Raw genomic sequence first — 16,908 nt, forward strand, 5'->3', positions numbered from 1 at the left:
ATTCTTCCCTAGATCTCCCGAAAGGAAGGCAGCTCTGTCAACACCTTGGTTTTAGCCTGGAGCAGCCAGTGTTGGACTTCTAATCCACGTTAACTTTAAGAAAACAAATTTGCATTGTATAAGCCACTAAAATTCAGGCAGCAATAAAAAAAATAATGCACATATTTTCAGTAGGACAAGCAATCAAACTTTTGGGCAACTGCTTGTACTATATATGTTTAAATATAAAACCTGTCACCATTGCTATAAAATAAAAGCTTAAGCACAGATATTTTTCCTTCTTAGACTTACTAATGCTTAAAATTCATGGCCACACAATGATGATTGTCTCCCTGATAAAGACACAAAAATGTACTTTCTGTTCTCCTCTTTCATCCACTCATCTAGCACATTATTGTGTGCCTGCTGCATGCCAGGCAATGTGCTGTGTGCTATGGAGACTGAAAACAACAGTATGGACATGGCTTTGCCACCTCTGGATGTCACAGGTTCACGAGAATACAGATAACCCAGTAAGCAGTGATAAACAATTTTTTTCAATTGCTCACATCCAGTCTCTTCAAAAAATCTCGTTTATTGCTTTTAGAATCACATTTAATCACATTTAAATTTTCTATACTTTTTAAGAATTCCACTACATAATTCCTACAAACCTAAATCTCTTTTTCCCCTAACACTTTCCTTCATGATTTACTTTGTAATTATAGTGGATCTCAAATTTTAGCTTAAATTAGAATCATCTGGAGGATTTGGAGAAACTCTAGCCCCACCACTTAGAGGTGAAGCTGGCTGGGCTTCTGGGTCAGGGGGACTTGGAGAACTTTTTTGTCTAGCTAAAGGATTGTAAACACACCAATCAGCGCTCTGTGTCTAGCTAAAAGTTTGTAAATGCACCAATCAACACTCTGCAAAAACGGACCAATCAGCACTCTGTAAAATGGACCAATCAGCACTCTGTAAAATGGACCAATCAGCAGGATGTGGGCGGGGCCAAATAAGGGAATAAAAGGCCACCTGGGCTGCAACGCAACTTGCTCGAATCCTTTTTCCGGAATGTGGAATCTTTCTTATTTTCCTTTTCACAGTAGATCTTCTTGCTTCTCACTTTTTGGGTTCGGATTTCCGTTAAAAGCTGTAACACTGGGAGAGTCTGCGGCTTCACTCCTAAATCAGGAAGACCACGAACTCCTCGAGAGAAGCGAACTCTGGACGTGACACTTTTAGGAGCTGTAACACGGCAAAGGTCTGTGGCTTCATTCCTAACGTCAGAGAGACAACAAACTCACCGGGAAAAATGAACAACTCCGGACCCGCCACCCTTAGGAGCTGTAACACGGCCAGGGTCTGCGGCTTCACTTCCGAAGTAAGCAAGACCACGAACCCACCAGAAGGAAGAAATTCCGGACACATGTGAAAGGAACAAACGACTGACACACCATTTTTAAGAACCGCAACACTCACTGCGAGGGTTCGTGGCTTCGTTCTTGAAGTCTGTGAACCCAAGAACCCTCCGCAAGGAACCAGTTCCAGGCCCACGGCTAGACTTTCTTATTCAGCATACCGGGGGCAGGGAAAAAAGAGATACTCAATATTTATATCTTTAAGAATGTTTAAACGCTGGTATAGCTGAAATTGGGAACCAACGTCTTGAAACCCACTGTTCTAATAAAAAACAGATGGATGCAAAAGGACAATGCGTTGACACTCCAAGTCGACCTGGTGGTGGTCACTGTGCCCTGGCAGGTTTTATTACTGAACGTGGAATGAGCCCAGCAAACCTGACCACTTGGGTGCGCTGTGCATTCCTGTTGCTGGGTGGTTGACTGCCAGTTAACCCTGCCCAGCTTTTTCAGTTTCACAGCGTTAGAATTCCCGATTTTTAGTGGTGCACACCAAGCATTGTATTGACTGTTTCCCAGAATCCGTTGCAGTTTGGTGAGTTCGTTGACTAAATTCCAACCAATGGGATGAGTCATATCGATAGAGAAAAGGAAGGCGATCCCATGTTGGTCATTTCTCTTCTCCTTTGTGGTTGGAATATGGGCATTGCAGAAAGCCGCCTTAAGGCTGGCATATAAGGAAGCTAGATGGAAACATGTTAGCAGTGGACAAGACACCACAGCAGCCGAGGGTGAGGTACCTCTGCACCAATGCGTGAAACACAAAGCTGCTATCTTGTCTAACTTGTGAAATTGTGGGTCTCTGTTACATGTAGCTTAATCCAAATTAGTTTAGGTACACAATAGAAAGCAGACAATGTAAAAGAAACCTGACGATACACAGGACCAAATTCGAACTTGGTTTCTTGCCTTGTTTACATGAACAGCCAGGAAAAGCAAACAACTTTTTCTCTGGTATTTAATGAAAAGAGAGATTAAAAAGGATTATCAAAGTAACATTTTGGTTTTATCCACTGGGTCTATGTGAGGTTAATTTTTCTCTAAGGCATGAGGTCAGGATGCCGTTTCCTTTTGAGTCCCAGCGAGGAATCGACTATTGCAGCGTCATTTGTTGAATGTCAACGTACAGTGGCAGCACTGCCCTGTTGCTGATTGGCATTATCCATAGGCCTGCTTCCAAACTTTCCATTGTATTACCTTTGTCTGTGTTCCCCTCTCTGTACTGATACACGCAGGTTTAATATTTTTAACGTTTTATTTTGAAATTATAGATTAAGAGGAAGTTGCAAAAATAATACAGAAATGCCCGGGAATCTTTTACTCCATTTTCCCAGGGCAAATCTTATGACTACAGTGCAATATTGAAACCTAGACTTTGACAGTAATACAATCCACAGATCTAATTTGTATTTCACTAGCGTTGTGTGCACTCGTGTGTGTGTATAACTTACTCTATGTGAGTTTAATCCCATGCATAGAGTTGTGTAACCATCACAATGGTCATGTCACAGAGCTAGGCCATGCCCACAGGGTTTCCTCGTGCTCGTTTTTAGCCATACCCTCCCTTCCATCCTCCACCCTTCTTCTCCATCTCCATGGTAACATGTCTCTCCATTCATTTAAGTGATATTTGATATCTTTCACCATCAATTTTTCAAGTTTCAACATACAGATTCTGCACGTGTTTGTTAGATTTATACCTGAGTACATAATTTTCTTTGGAGCAACTTTAAATGGTAATATATTATTAATCTCAGTTTCTATATATTAGCATATAAAAATGCAATTAAGCTTTTCGTTCCTCTTAAATCCTACAGCCTCGTTAAGCTTACTTATTAGTTTGAAGAGGTTCATCGTTTGTTTATGTGTTTGTTTTTGTAGATTGGGATTTTTCTACAGACCCTCATGTCATTTGCAAATAAGGACAGTTTAATTTTTTCCTTTCCAATCTGCATGAAGTGTTTTTTTCTTGACTTATTTCACTGCCCAGAACGTTCAGTACTATGTTGAATAAGAGTGATGATAGCAGACACCTTGCTTTGTTTTTGATCTTAGGAGGAAGCCATTCAGTCTTGTCACATTGAGTGTTAACTGCAGACTTTTTGTAGAGTCTCTTTATGAAGTTGAGGCCATTCTCTTCCATTACTACTTTGCTGATTTTTATCATGACTGGGTGTTGCATTTTTCTGCATCAATTGATTTTATTTCAATATTAATTGATATTACTTTTCTTCTTTAGGCTGTTGGTATAGGAGACTACACTGATTAATTTTAAATATTGAACTAATTCACTTTTCATCCCTATAATAAATTCCATTTGGTCATGGAGTATAATTCTTTATATTGCTACATTCTATTTGCTAATCTTTTTTGAGTGTTTTTGTGTTTAAATTTATAGAAATATCAGTCTATAGTTTTCCTGTACTGTTTTTATCTAGTTTTGGTATTATGCAAATACTGGCCTTGTAATGTGGTTGCAAAGTATTCCCTCCTCTTCTACTTTCTTGAAAAGACTGTGGACAGCTGGTGTTCAGTATTCATTAAATATTTGGCAGAATTTGCCAGTGAAATCATCTGGGCCTGGTGATTTCCTTTTTAAGAGCCTTTTAATTACAAATTTATAGGTTTTTCAAATTTCTATTTCATGTTGTTTGATTTTTGGGTAATTTTTGCGTTTCAAAGAACTGACTCACTTCCTTAAAGTTGTTGAATTTATGAATGAAGGTTGTTCATGGCATTCCTGTATCACCATCTGGATTGCTGCAGGATCTGTAGAGCTAGCTCTGCTTTAATTCCTGATACTTGTGATTTGCGTCATCTTTTTATCTTTGTCAATCTCGCTAAAAGTTTATCAATGTTATTGATCTGTTTTGGAGACTAGATTTCGTTTTTGTTTTATTGATTTCCTCTACCATCTTTCTATTTTTATACCATCTTTCTATTTTTTATTTTATTGATATTTGCCCTGATATCTATTATTTATTTCCTTCTGCATGCTTTGAATTTTTTTGCTCTTCTTTTTCTAATTTCTCAAAGTTGGAATTTGGACCATTGATTTGAAATGTTTTCTGTTTTCTAATGTAGCCTTTTAGTGCTATATATTTCCCTCTCAGCACTGCTTTAGCTGCATCCCACATACTTTAGTATATGGCATTTTTACTTTCACTCAGTTAAAATATCATCTTTAAAACAAGCAAAAAACCATATAGTGTTAACAAGTTGCTCCTGGACATTTAAAAAGCTTTCCATTTTTGAACATGTGCTCTGACCTTATGGGGATTGTTTCCTCATCTGTGAACAAAGACTGTCTGATGTTATGGTAGGCTCATGCCTCATTCCCAGACAGCTAGGCCTAGAAGAAGGATGCCACCAAAATAAAGGATGGCACCACATCAATCAGTAACTGTGATGGATGACCTTCATCAGGGTAGACATTGACATTCTACCCCACATCAATCACTAACTGTGACAGATGACCTTCATTGGGGTAGACATTATCAGCTTTGCTGATAAGGATGGGGCTAGAGGATATCTTGTCTTTTTCCACTCAACTTTGAGGGTAAAAACTAGCTATTTTCTGGGAAACAGGACAATGGCTAGCAATTACACAGAAAATGCTTAGTCAATGTTGAGTGAAGGGGTATTGAGTTATTACATGTGGCAGTTAATCCGTAGTTAGCTGAGCCTGTGAGGCCAACCAAAAGTAGGATGGAAACAATTGGGAAATATAGATTGTTATGGGATGACCCCAAGAACATGGCAAGCAAAGGTCAAAAGTTAGTGATCTGTCACTGACAGCAGTTAAATTCCTGACAGCAGGAGGTACAGCGATGTGCGTCATTCAGGTTTGCAGTGGAATCACTGCTCTGCTCTGTGCAGGTTTACCCTGGTCATCCCTGCAGCCTCGCCATGGCTCCAGGCCTGCTAGGAAGAGGCCTCATCTGGCCAACACTTGTGTGAGTGTACTGGCTCCGTAGTGCAAAATGACAACAGAGAAGCCAAGGTGCACCTTTCTTCTAGAGAGAGGATTTAAACTGATCAATGATCAATGATGTATTACTACCTCATGAGTCAAACAGGATAACATATTCCTTAGACTAAACAGACATGAGCCCTCTCGCAGCAACTGGAATTCTTGGTTATTTCCCATCCTCCTCCCTCTCCTGGAAGAAAATCATTCTATCTGCAGATTCACTCCTCACTGCTCCCACCCCTTGTCTCTGCCCAACACCCCAGTCATGGGTCAGGTGATACCAACTAGAGGTGGTGGGAAGGGCACCTTCTTATAGGCAGGTGGCAAAGAAAATCACTCATTCCAGAAGATGCCTGGACCACTAGACAGAAAGTGCCTCATAATAGGTATTTTCTAACAGTCCTTATAGGAAATAACATGACCAAAAGGGAGAGATTCTCCCCCTTCCAATCACATTATAAATGCATGAGTATGGGGTTATCCCCCTCACCAAAGAGTGTGTGTCATTCACATTGTATTGCATTGTACTGCATTCACATTGTATTGTATTGTCATTCACATTGTATTGTATTGGCCCAGCCCCAACTTCTGACATGAGCAAGGGTTCACAGCATGTTGGGATTTAACTAGAGGGCTAATTCCTATACTACTGCTCAAGCAGACAAGCAATAGACACCCACTGGAATGTCCTTGAGAACACTGAGTTCAAGTCTGAGATCTTGAACATGCTGGAAGTCCAGGATGAAGATGTCTTCAGGGTTGGTTTCTCCTAGGTCTTCCTTCCTTGCCTTGCAGTCCTTCTTGCCACGTCCTCATAGGGCTTTTCTCTGTGCGAGTACATCCCTGGTCTCTCTCTCTCTCTTCCTAAAAGGACACCAGTCGTATTTAATTAGGACTCTACACTTAACCCTCATTTAACCTCAGTTACCTTTTTAAAGGTTCTAGCTCCAGATACCTAAATGCTTTCCCACTGGGGGCTAGGGTTTCAACATACGAACTTGCGGGGGGGACCACAATTCAGTGCATAACACATATATCCACACATACATGCACGTACATGTAGGCACACTCATACACACATATATGCTGCAGGGAATGTACAATAATTTGAAAACAGTTTAGCAATATCTTAAAAAGTTAGACATGCACTATATCTGTTTCCATAGCCTGATCATTCTATTGCTTGGTATTTACTCAAACGGAAACATATCCACACTGTCTTAGTCCATTTTGCATTGCTATAACTTAATACCACAAAGTGAGTAATTTATTAGGATAAGAGGTTTATTTTGGCTCACAGTTCTGGAGGATAGGAAGTGCAAGATTGGGTGGCCCCATCTGCTCAGCTCCTGGTGAGGGGCCCTGTGCTGCATCATGATGTGGCAGGAGGCATCACAGGACAAGAGGACTGACCATGTCACTCATGTCTCTCTTTCTCCTCCTATAAAGCTGCTAATGCCCCACCTTCATGGCCCCATCTAATCTGATTCTCTCCCAAACCTTCCCCTCTCACATACTGGTATAGATTTCCCACCCTCTGCATTTCATCTTAACAAAATTTAAACTCTCTGAGGATCCCAGAATCAACCAACAAAAAGCACAGTTAGGTAATTAAAGTATTAAGTATTGCCACAATGAAGATTAGGTTTTAACATGACTTGATGGGGGGACAAACATTCAAACCATAGTGCACACAAATATGCATTCCATCGCATCCTCCTTTGTAATAGTCTGAAACAAGATAAAAATCCAAACGTCCATTAAGAGTGAATGAATAAGCAAATTGTGATCTATCCATTCATTAGAATACTACTTAGGGGAGAGAGAAAGAACAGGGGTGGGAGACAGGGAGGGACTTAGCAATCGGGGGAGAAATAAGGCAGAACAAACAAGCGTCACAGAAATATATATATAATATATATGTTTATATATTATGTTATATATATGCATTTATTTTTTGCTCAGCCTAGTAATTTTGAAATTCATCTGTTTATATATATATGCATTTTTATATGTTTATGTATAGATTCATCTATGAAGAAGCTGTATAAATATATTCATCTACATATGTATGTTTTTATATATATACATATATATAAACATAGATGGATCTCAAAACCACTAGGCTGAGCAAAAAATGAATGCATACTTATCATTTTATTAATATAAAATTCTGGTGGCAAAATTAGACCAGTGGTTGGTTGCCTGAGGACACAAGGAAGCTTTGGGGGCTGACAGACCTGTTTGCTATCTTGACGATGGTGACATTTCACAGGTGTACACACATGTCACAATTGACCAAATGGTATACTGTGCATACATGAGTTTATTATACAGCAATAGTACCTCAATAGAATTGTAAAAGAAGTACACTCTTACTCACCATATCACCTCTGACAAGCAACCTGTACATACCATATTTACTTCCCAAAGAAAGGAGCATGCGAATCCTGAGGCTGAGTCCCTTCAAAGCCCCTGGGAAGCTCCTGCGTGAGTTCATGAACATGATGAGCAGGACGGAGCTGGAAGCCACATTTCACCTGCTGTCCTCAGCAGCTGGCATGCATTCTAGTGACACTTGGCACTGCGCGGCTACCTTTATGGTTACTGACTGGCTTTAATACTTTAAATACTTGTGTTGTGCTCTTTGTTAGTTGATTCTGGGAACTTCAGAGAGTTTTTATTTAGTTTTAAATTTCGCTTCTTTAAAGAATTTTCTGATTTCAAATCCATTTATTAACAAATAACGTAATTTGCAGCCAGGTGCGGTGCTCAGGCCTGTAATCCCAGCACTTTGGGAGGCTGAGGTAAGAGGATTGCTCGAGCCCAGGAGGCAGAGGTTGCAGTGAGCCATGATTGTGTCACTGCATTTCAACCTGGGTGACAGAGTGAGATCCTGCACCCCTCCACAAGAAAATTATGTAATTTGCACTTTTAATACATCACATTATACGTGACACTACAGAAAACTCAGGAGGAAAAGTGAACAATATTATTTTAATGAGTAACATTAAAAATAGAATTATATCATAGAAGAAAATTGTTTTGCTTTTTAATCATCAACAGCTGCACTTCACTGTAATGAAAGTTAAATACTACTCCTTTACTACCTTCACGTAATAAAGTGATTTGTGAAAACTGGATAGAAATTAAAGTATAATCAGTATTTTCAAAGGACAATTATCACATTCCTCAACTATAAATTCAAGTTGCATTAGTCCCAAACAAACATGGTTTATGTTTGTGTGGTATTCTTTTGTAATTTACACAGATCTGTAAGTGGAAATGACAAAAATTTTATTTATTTATAAAATTCTTACTCTCTTGTTTAAAGCCATAGAATCTTTTTTGTTTTTATATTTTCATCAAAAAGGTAATGTGTTCTTTAGAGAAAATATGGTGGGGGAAAAAGTGACAAGAAGAAAATATCCTTCTATCTACACACCCACTTTTTAAAAATCCAAGAGATGACCTCTGTGTCTCTGCAACTGATATTTCTTCTAAAATTGATGGAGACACATTTGTATCTATTGCAAGATCTGTGCTATAATAATTTCACCAGCCCTTTCAACTTAATGCTGCGTGGACATTTGCCCATGTCATTAAATGAACTTATTCAGCATAATTGTGGAGTATTTAATTCCATGAATCAAGTAGTTACTGAAACTCAGTAGGGATGCAAGAATGTGTGCCGTTCAGTGAAAGCATCTGCTGTATCCGCCGTACTGGCCTCTACGCTTAGACCGGGTCGTGTATTCTATTTTTCTGTGGTAAATAAAGAGACTGTGAATACCCTAGCACATCAGTCTTTGCAAATATCCGGGGGCATTTTCTCAGTATCAGTTCTTGGATTTGAACTGCTCAGTCAGAGATCACGTGCCAAGGTTTTCATGACTGAGTGGAGGTTACCAAAATGCCAGATCGCCTTTTCCTTCTGCACACCTGGCAGCCTTGTGGCTGTGTGCCTCTCTCCTGCACCCAAGGCAGGTATGGGCAATCTGGTTCAGTGTAGCAGTGGCCATCTAATACTTGCTTACATTTCTTTTAGTATTTATGGGAAACCCACAGGATCCTAACTGTGATGTCCCCACTCCCTCTCTATCACCTTTTATCTCCTTAACCTGTTTTATATTTCTTTCCTTCTTTCCCTTCCTTCCTCCCTTCCTTCCTTTCCTTCCTTCCTTCTTTTCTCTCTTTCTTTCCTTTCTTTTCTTTCTTTCTTTCTCTCTCTTTCTCTTCCTTCCTTTCTTTCTCTCTTTCTTCTTTCTTTCTTTCTTCTTTCTTCTTCTTTCCTTCCTTTCTTTCTTTTCTTTCTTTCTCTCTCTCTCTCTCTCTCTTTCTCTCTCTCTTTCTCTCTCTCTCTCTCTTTCTCTCTTTCTCTCTTTCTTTCTTTCTTTGGCTGAGTCTCTCTCTGTTGCCCAGGCTGGAGTCCAGTGGCGTGATCTTGACTCTTTGCAACCTCCACTTGCCTGACTCAAGCGATTCTCCTGCCTCAGCCTCCCGAGTAGCTGGGACTACAGGCATGCACCACCATGCCTGGCTAATTTTTTGTATTTTTAGTAGAGATGGGGTTTCACCATGTTGGCCAGGCTGGTCTCAAACTACTGACCTCAGGTGATCCGCCCGCCTCACCCTCCCAAAGTGTTGGGATTACAAGCATAAGCCACCGCGCCTGGCCCCTGTTTTATATTTCACAGCCCTTATGAGCACCTAAAATATTATGCCTACATGTGTTTTTATAATGGTCTATCCTCCTCTGCCCCCCCACTTCAAAGAGCAGGAACTTTTTTTTCCCTATTGTTTCCACCTTGCGTAGAATAATGCCTGGAGCATAGTAGGAGTGCAATTAATATTTATTTAATAAATGGCTAACAAATGACGTGTGCACGCACAAACACACGTGCTATGAGCACTGCTGTGTGAGTCCAAGGTCTCCTTTCGTCCTCTTAGAAATCATAATCAGTGCCCCACAAACCACATCCTCACAGATGCTAAACCTGCCCAGGAGTGCAGGAGAGGCCACATCACTCTGACCTGACCGAGAGACAGAAGGGCACCCCCACCACCACCAAGAAGGCAGAGAAGAGGGAATCAGTGTGAAGAACCGACCTGGGGGCAGGTCAGAGATGGGCACCCAGGGAGGAGCAAGAGGGGCGTAGCTGACTTCCTGGGCGGCTTCAATCTCTCATTCACATTTTCCTCTTTGCCTCCGCCCATCCTTGGTGAGTAGATAGTCCCCTCCCTCATTAGTCCAGAAATCCTGTCACAGCGACTAAACCTGAGTCCAGTCTTGTCAACATTTTGGATGCAATAGAATCTTGAGGTGCTTGTTCACAGTAAATTCTGAAAGCCTTGGTCTAGAAGGGACATCTCAGGTGCAGAATATGGGAAATTGCATGTTTATAACCAAAACCAGGACACAGCCTCACACAGCTCCCTTCTGCGTGCACAACCTCCTCCTCACAATGCCTCCTCTTCAACGCTTGCCTCTTCCCAGCAGCCCTGCCGTCAGCTCCTATGTCCCAGTGGGACCCTGTGTTCATTTCCTGGGGCTGCTGTAACTAGGCATCATGAACCACGTGACTTGGATGATCTCTGGGGATATTGCAGCTGGAATCACAGGCAGAGGTGGCCAAAGGCTTTCTAGAGGGCTCTATCTGCCTCAGCATGGGTCATGTTTTAAATGTGCAGGTGTCTGTCTGCCAGGGCTGCTGTAACAAGATACTGCAGACTGGGGGAGTCATACAGCCGACTTTTATTGTCTCACAATTCTGGAGGCTGGAAGGCTGAGATCAGGGTGTCGGCAGAGGTGGTTCCTACCCGGGCTGTGAGGGAGAGTTAGCCCCGGGCCTCTCCCTTTTGCCCCTGGCTTGTAGGTGAGGCACTCCTGGTGGCCTTAATCATCACCCCTCTGTGCACATCGGTCTCTGTGTCCACACTTCCCCTTGGTATAAGGACCCAGTCCTGTTGGATGCAGGGCCACTCTAATGACTTCATTTTAACTGATTGCCCCTTTTAAGACCCTATCTCCAAATACTGTCCCTTTGTGAGGTCCTGGGGGTTAGGACTTCAACATTTCTTTTTTGAAGGGACACAGCTCATCCTCAGCAGGCCCCTGACCCCAGGGGCTTCATGCGAATGTTGCTGGCAGTATTACTGCACAGTACCCTCCCAGCTGCCCTGTGCTTCTAGAAACCTCCATCAGAGTCCGGAACCCTGACTGCTTTAGGGCCCTAGTCTTACAGTGACTGCAAGGAAGAGAAAACTTTTTGCTTGTTTATTGTTTAGAAATATTACATACCTGATTCTTTCCTGCCTCCCAAGAAAAAGCACAATTCTGTGAGAGACGCTTTTTTTTTTTTACCCCAATTTACATATGAGAAAACTGCCGCTTGGATAAAGTCAATCAGGAACTCAGTGTTATCCAGGAGTGACTAGTGAAAGAAGTGGTCCTCAAATCCAGGATGTCTCTGCCTAGAGTTCTGTGAAAAAGTCATATGTTCTCTTGGTTGAGGTAAGTAGCAGTGACTTATGCTCTTGCTTTCAGCCAATTCAACTCTGCTCTGAAGCAGAGTTGAAGTGCAAGATCAGGGATCAGGAAAGGGAGAACAGTCCAAATACCAGGCACCAGAGGTAAGTGCTCAACCGCAGAGTGGGCAGTGGGAGACAGAGGAGCACCGCGGAAGGTGATTCCTCGAAGGGCCACACATACAGGAGCCAACAGCTAAACTTTTACTAGTGCCTGTCTATTGCTTTACTGGACCACACGCCAACATGGGCATTTGGCATCACTGCAGGACATAGACTGTAGGCCAAGACCTACCTTCCTTGACCGGGCATGGTGGCTCACGCCTATAATCCCAGCACTTTGGGAGGCCAAGGTGGGTGGATCACCTGAGGTCAGGAGTTCAAGATCAGCCTGGCCAACATGGTGAAACCCCCTCTCTACAAAAATTAGCTGAGCATGATGGTGGGTGCCTATAATCCCAGCTACTCAGGAGGCTGAGGCAGGAGAATTGCTTGAACCCAGGAGGTGGAGGTTGTAGTGGGCCAAGGTTGTGCCACTGCACTCCAGCCTGGGCAACAAGAGTGAGACTCCGTGACAAACAAAAACAAACAAAACAAACAAAAAAACCTACGTTTCTCAACACGGGAGCAAAGTACAAATAGGACAGATCAGGGAGGTTCTGAAGCTTCTTTAAAGGCCCTTACTTTTCACTTGGGAAGAGAGAACAATGGAGCTCTCCCTCCAGGGTGTCTGGAGCTTCTGCCTGCAGGGTCTTCCTTCTCTTAGGTTTTGGGGCCAGGAGAGGGTAGGCACTGTTTGTCTTTTATTTGAAGAGGGTCAGCTTTTTTCCTTGCTTTCTTAAAAAGAGTGGGTTGAGTTCTCAAAAAAAGTTCATGCAGCCTTCTGGTTAAGCTGGGTGCGTGGAATGCACACATTGGCAGAAGCTGCCAGCATCTGTCAGCTGTGCCCTCTCTAGAGCTGGCGTCTGCAAACTCTTGCTGTAATAAGATACTAGATCATAACTACCAGATAATAAATAGTTGGCTGGGCACAGTGGCTCATGCCTGTAATCCCAGCACTTTGGGAGCCTAAGGCGGGTGGATCACCTGAGGGCAGGAGATTGAGACCAGCCTGGCCAACATGGTGAAACCCTGTCTATACCAAAAATACAAAAAAATAGCTGGGCGTGGTGGCACACGCCTGTAGTCCCAGCTACTCGGGAGGCTGAGGCAGGAGAATCGCTCTAATCTGAGAGGCAGAGGTTGCAGTGAGCCAAGATCATGCCACTACACTCTAGCCTGGGCGACAGAGCGAGACTCCAGCTCAAAAAATAAATAAATAAATAAATAAATAAATAAATAAATAAATAAAAATAGTTTAGACTTTATGGGCCCAATGCTGTCTTTGTCACATCTTCCTCTTGTTAAAAAAGAAATGGTTTAAAACTGCATGAAAACAGTCTTCTCAATACAAAGAAAGAGGCAGCAGCCGGATTAGACTGCAATTTCCTGACTCCGGTTGTACTGTAATGGAACCACAATGCTTCGCTCAGCACATGGGCCTGGAGATAGAGAGAATCTTCTCCAGCTCTCCTGTGGCCAGACATGGATGTGTGATGGGGTTGGGACAGCGGAGTGGAAGGGAAGTGATTTGTGCTACTTCTGTCCTGCTAGGGACATCCTGAAGAGGAGAGACCAGAGCAAAAGCTGGAGGAATGGGACAGGGCATATGTAACAAACCTGCACGTTGTGCACATGTACCCTAGAACTTAAAGTATAATAAAATAAAATAAAATAAAAAGAAGAAGGTGAATCCAGCACTTGGCCGTCTGCTTCCAGAAAATTGCATGAAGAAGAAATGTTCTTCGTCTCTCTCAGCCACTGTTGAGATGGATCTCCATTACATGCAGGGGAACCTGAATCTTAAACAGTGAAGAGTGCGCCTCCTGAAAGCAGAGCGCTGCACATGGCAGAAGCTAAACCCTGCAGCATCAGCTCGGCAGTCTAAAGGCAAGTAGCAAAGACACAGGCATTTGCAAGCTGGAAAGCTTGTGATGCGAGTTATGTTGTGGCAAATCATTAGGGCAAAGCTCACAGGCATGAGATGTTAGAAGGCGCACCATGTGCAACAAAGCTTCTAACTCTAGGGAAAAGGATGGGAAAATGAGGCATGTGGTGGTGTCTCAGCTACACCTCTCCGCTCTGCAAAGTCTGAAGAGAGAATTGAGCTCAGGCTGGAGCAGAGCAGGGAGTGGTACAGTCTCCTTGAGGATGAGAGCCTCCCTACAGCTGCCTGTACATCAACTGAGAGTCTAGGAATTTAGGGCCTCACAGGGCAGCAACAGTTACTGCTTTTGTCACTCACACTAAAGCTGTTACAGAAGTGGTAACTTTAACCTGGAAAAAAACTGTGATTCCAACCAGTGAGAATGAGGCCAGCTTCAGAGATGTGATCACAGATGTTACCCTCTCATCAAAGGGATTGCCATGGAGTGGGAAGAGAACACCGAAGGTGCAGGGGCAGGAGTGTAAAGCACGGAGATTTTAGGCTTAAAAACAGCACCCAGATGCAGGTCCTACAAGGTAACATCGGCTCAGCTCATTAAGTTAGAATATATCCTTACATCTTCCCAAAAATACTCAGAAGGACAATGAAGGCACGTAAAATCATCCAGCACTCAGGCTAACAGCTTGACTAAAAGACAACACCAAGAAATGAATTCATCTGCAGACAGTGAAGTGAGTATTCTAAACGATCATGGCCTGCCATGAAGGCCACACCAGGGCAGTGTCCTGCAGGCACCACCACAGGGGAGAGGTAGTGGGGCTCCAGTAGGAGTAGAACCGGATGACACCAATGAGACCCACACCCAAACGGAGAGTGTCCTCCCCAATTCAATATCCTTACTTTAAACACATCTGCAAAGTCTCCTTTGCTGTTTAAGACAACGTATTCACAGGCCCTGGCACGAGGACATGGACATCTTTGGGGATGAAGCTATGCCAGCCTGCAGTCTGGCTTCCAAAGGTGTATGTCTCTCACACACGCCAAAGGCATTCACCTCCTCTTAAGGTCTCCAAAAATCTCAATTCATCATAGCAACTCCAAGTCCATTATCTCATTAAATCTCACCAGTTTAAAAGCCCAAAATATCATCTAAATCAGGCAAGGGTAGGACTCTGACAATAATCCATCCTGGAGCAAAATTCCCCTTCATCTGTGAAGCTGTGAATCCAAAGAAACAAGTGTTTTGTTTCCAAAATACAATGGTGGGACAGTCGTAGACATTTCCTTTCAGAAACAGAAGGAAAGACTGGTCTCAAGCAGTTTTGAAATCAAGAAGGGAAAACTCCATTAGGTTTTGAGGCAAGAAAAAAAAATCCTCTGTAGCTCTCAGCTCTACCCTCTAAATCATCTTACCCCCTTTTTTTTTTCTAAATGAGCTGCAGAGCTGAGTCGTTTTATCAGCCTGTTTCCTGCCAGTAGAATTTTGGGGGTCCATCAGCCTTCTTTCATTTTTGCTCTTTCCATCCCTTTCGGCGCAAGCTGGCACTGTTCCTGCTGATATGAAATTCTCAGGAACCTCGTGGATCACACACGTACATCATGGGGATTCACTCATTAGACAAGAGGCTTGCCCACAGATCTTTCCAGGTAATCCCATCTCTACTTTTCCTTTGCGGAGATGGCTGAGGAACAATGCCCTTGAGCTTCCTAAGGGCATTGTTAGAAAGAGGAAGAGGCTCTCTGGTTCCAGGACATTTGTGAGTCCCTTTCTTTACCCCGTCAAAGAGCCTTTTGTGTGACAGAATACTCTGACCTTTTGGTCTTCCTAAGATATTTCCAGAAAGTGTAGAGCCATACCGTCAGCCTTTTCTCTAGAACATGCTTTTCTGACAATAAATCTCTCAATTTTAGTGTCGTTTACAACCTGGAAGGACTGAGAGTTTTTCAAACGATCAAGTCCTGGTTTCTTTTTATTTAATGGTTCTTCCCTCAATGTAACTTTTCTCTCTTCCACTCTGCAAGAAGAAGCCAGACTGCACTTTCAACGCTTGGCTTGGAAATCACTTACAGGTTCTGCTTTCCACGCCTGCAAGACCTGTAAGCTTTCTGCTATTGGCCCCCTTTTCCTCCATATCCAATACCACATTCCCTAATTTCTTCTGCATCCTCACCAGCAGTGTTTTTAATGTCCATTATTTCTACCAACAATCTGTTCACGGCAACTTAAATGTTCTCTAAGCCTGACCTAGGTTTGTCTATTGTATCCCTCACTTTCTTCTGTTTCCTCATGGGCAATGTCATTATCATCTATTTTTTTTTTTTTTTTTTTTTTGACTAATAGTCTGCTCAAGGCAATTGAGACTTTTTGTCATCTCAAAATTCTTCCAGTCTCTCCCTATTTCCAATTTCAAAGCCACTTGCATATTTTTAGATGTTTATTACAGCAAATCTCACTTCCCGGTTCCAAAAATATGTATTAGCCTTCTATTGTTACTATAAGGAATTGCCACAATTCGTTACACTACCAGGCTCAAATCAAGGTGTTGGGAGGCTGTATTTCTTTCTGGAGGCTGTAAGGAGGATGGCTTTCCTTCCTGTTTGAATTGCTGGCAGAACTCAACAACAGGGTCTCCCTACTTCTCAGAACCAGCAACTGGAGCATCACAGCCTTCTCATGCTGCCACTTTCTCTGCCTATGGCGGGAAAAAATCCTCTAGCTTCTGTGCGTTTAAGGACTCATGGTTGTTATTAAATTGTGGACCTCTTTGTTGGGGCATTATTCTGCCTACCACCATGGACAAATGTAAAACTTCACTGAGCTATAAACTGGAGTGTAGCCATTTAGTGTTTCATAATTTACACTTCTATTAAAGGACATCTTAAAAAATAGATGACATTGGGGTTCTACTGTGTTTCTACTCTAGTGTACTCGTGACATTTCTGGCACCAAAAATGTGGGTTGTTTCTTTTTCCAACACCAACAAATTATTTAACTCTCTGACAACAACTAGGTGTCCAAC

The 16,908-nt window shown here is 42.5% G+C and overlaps 1 protein-coding gene across 8 annotated transcripts in view, besides 1 other annotated feature; it reads right to left on the reverse strand.

Annotated features, from left to right (window-relative positions):
* Nucleotides 612–1,811: an enhancer, noted in NCBI's record as "BRD4-independent group 4 enhancer chr15:27958849-27960048 (GRCh37/hg19 assembly coordinates)". NCBI's record gives its function as "activates an origin of replication core promoter dependent on BRD2, P300/CBP, MED14 and CDK7 cofactors, and independent of BRD4, by STARR-seq in HCT116 cells {active_cell/tissue: HCT116}" and the evidence as "EXISTENCE:reporter gene assay evidence [ECO:0000049][PMID:35650434]".
* OCA2 (OCA2 melanosomal transmembrane protein) overlaps nt 5,917–16,908 on the reverse strand; it is a 380,308-nt gene continuing 369,316 nt past the window's right edge. For all 8 annotated transcript variants that reach the window (XM_047432619.1, XM_047432618.1, XM_047432609.1 and 5 more), the window contains one exon: nt 5,917–6,237. In XM_047432619.1, the coding sequence (XP_047288575.1) occupies nt 6,186–6,237 (52 nt within the window). In that variant the 3' untranslated portion in view covers nt 5,917–6,185. The remainder of the gene's footprint in view (nt 6,238–16,908) is intronic.

The sequence above is a fragment of the Homo sapiens genome, chromosome 15, assembly GCF_000001405.40.
Source record: "Homo sapiens chromosome 15, GRCh38.p14 Primary Assembly".
NCBI classification, from domain to species: domain Eukaryota; kingdom Metazoa; phylum Chordata; class Mammalia; order Primates; family Hominidae; genus Homo; species Homo sapiens.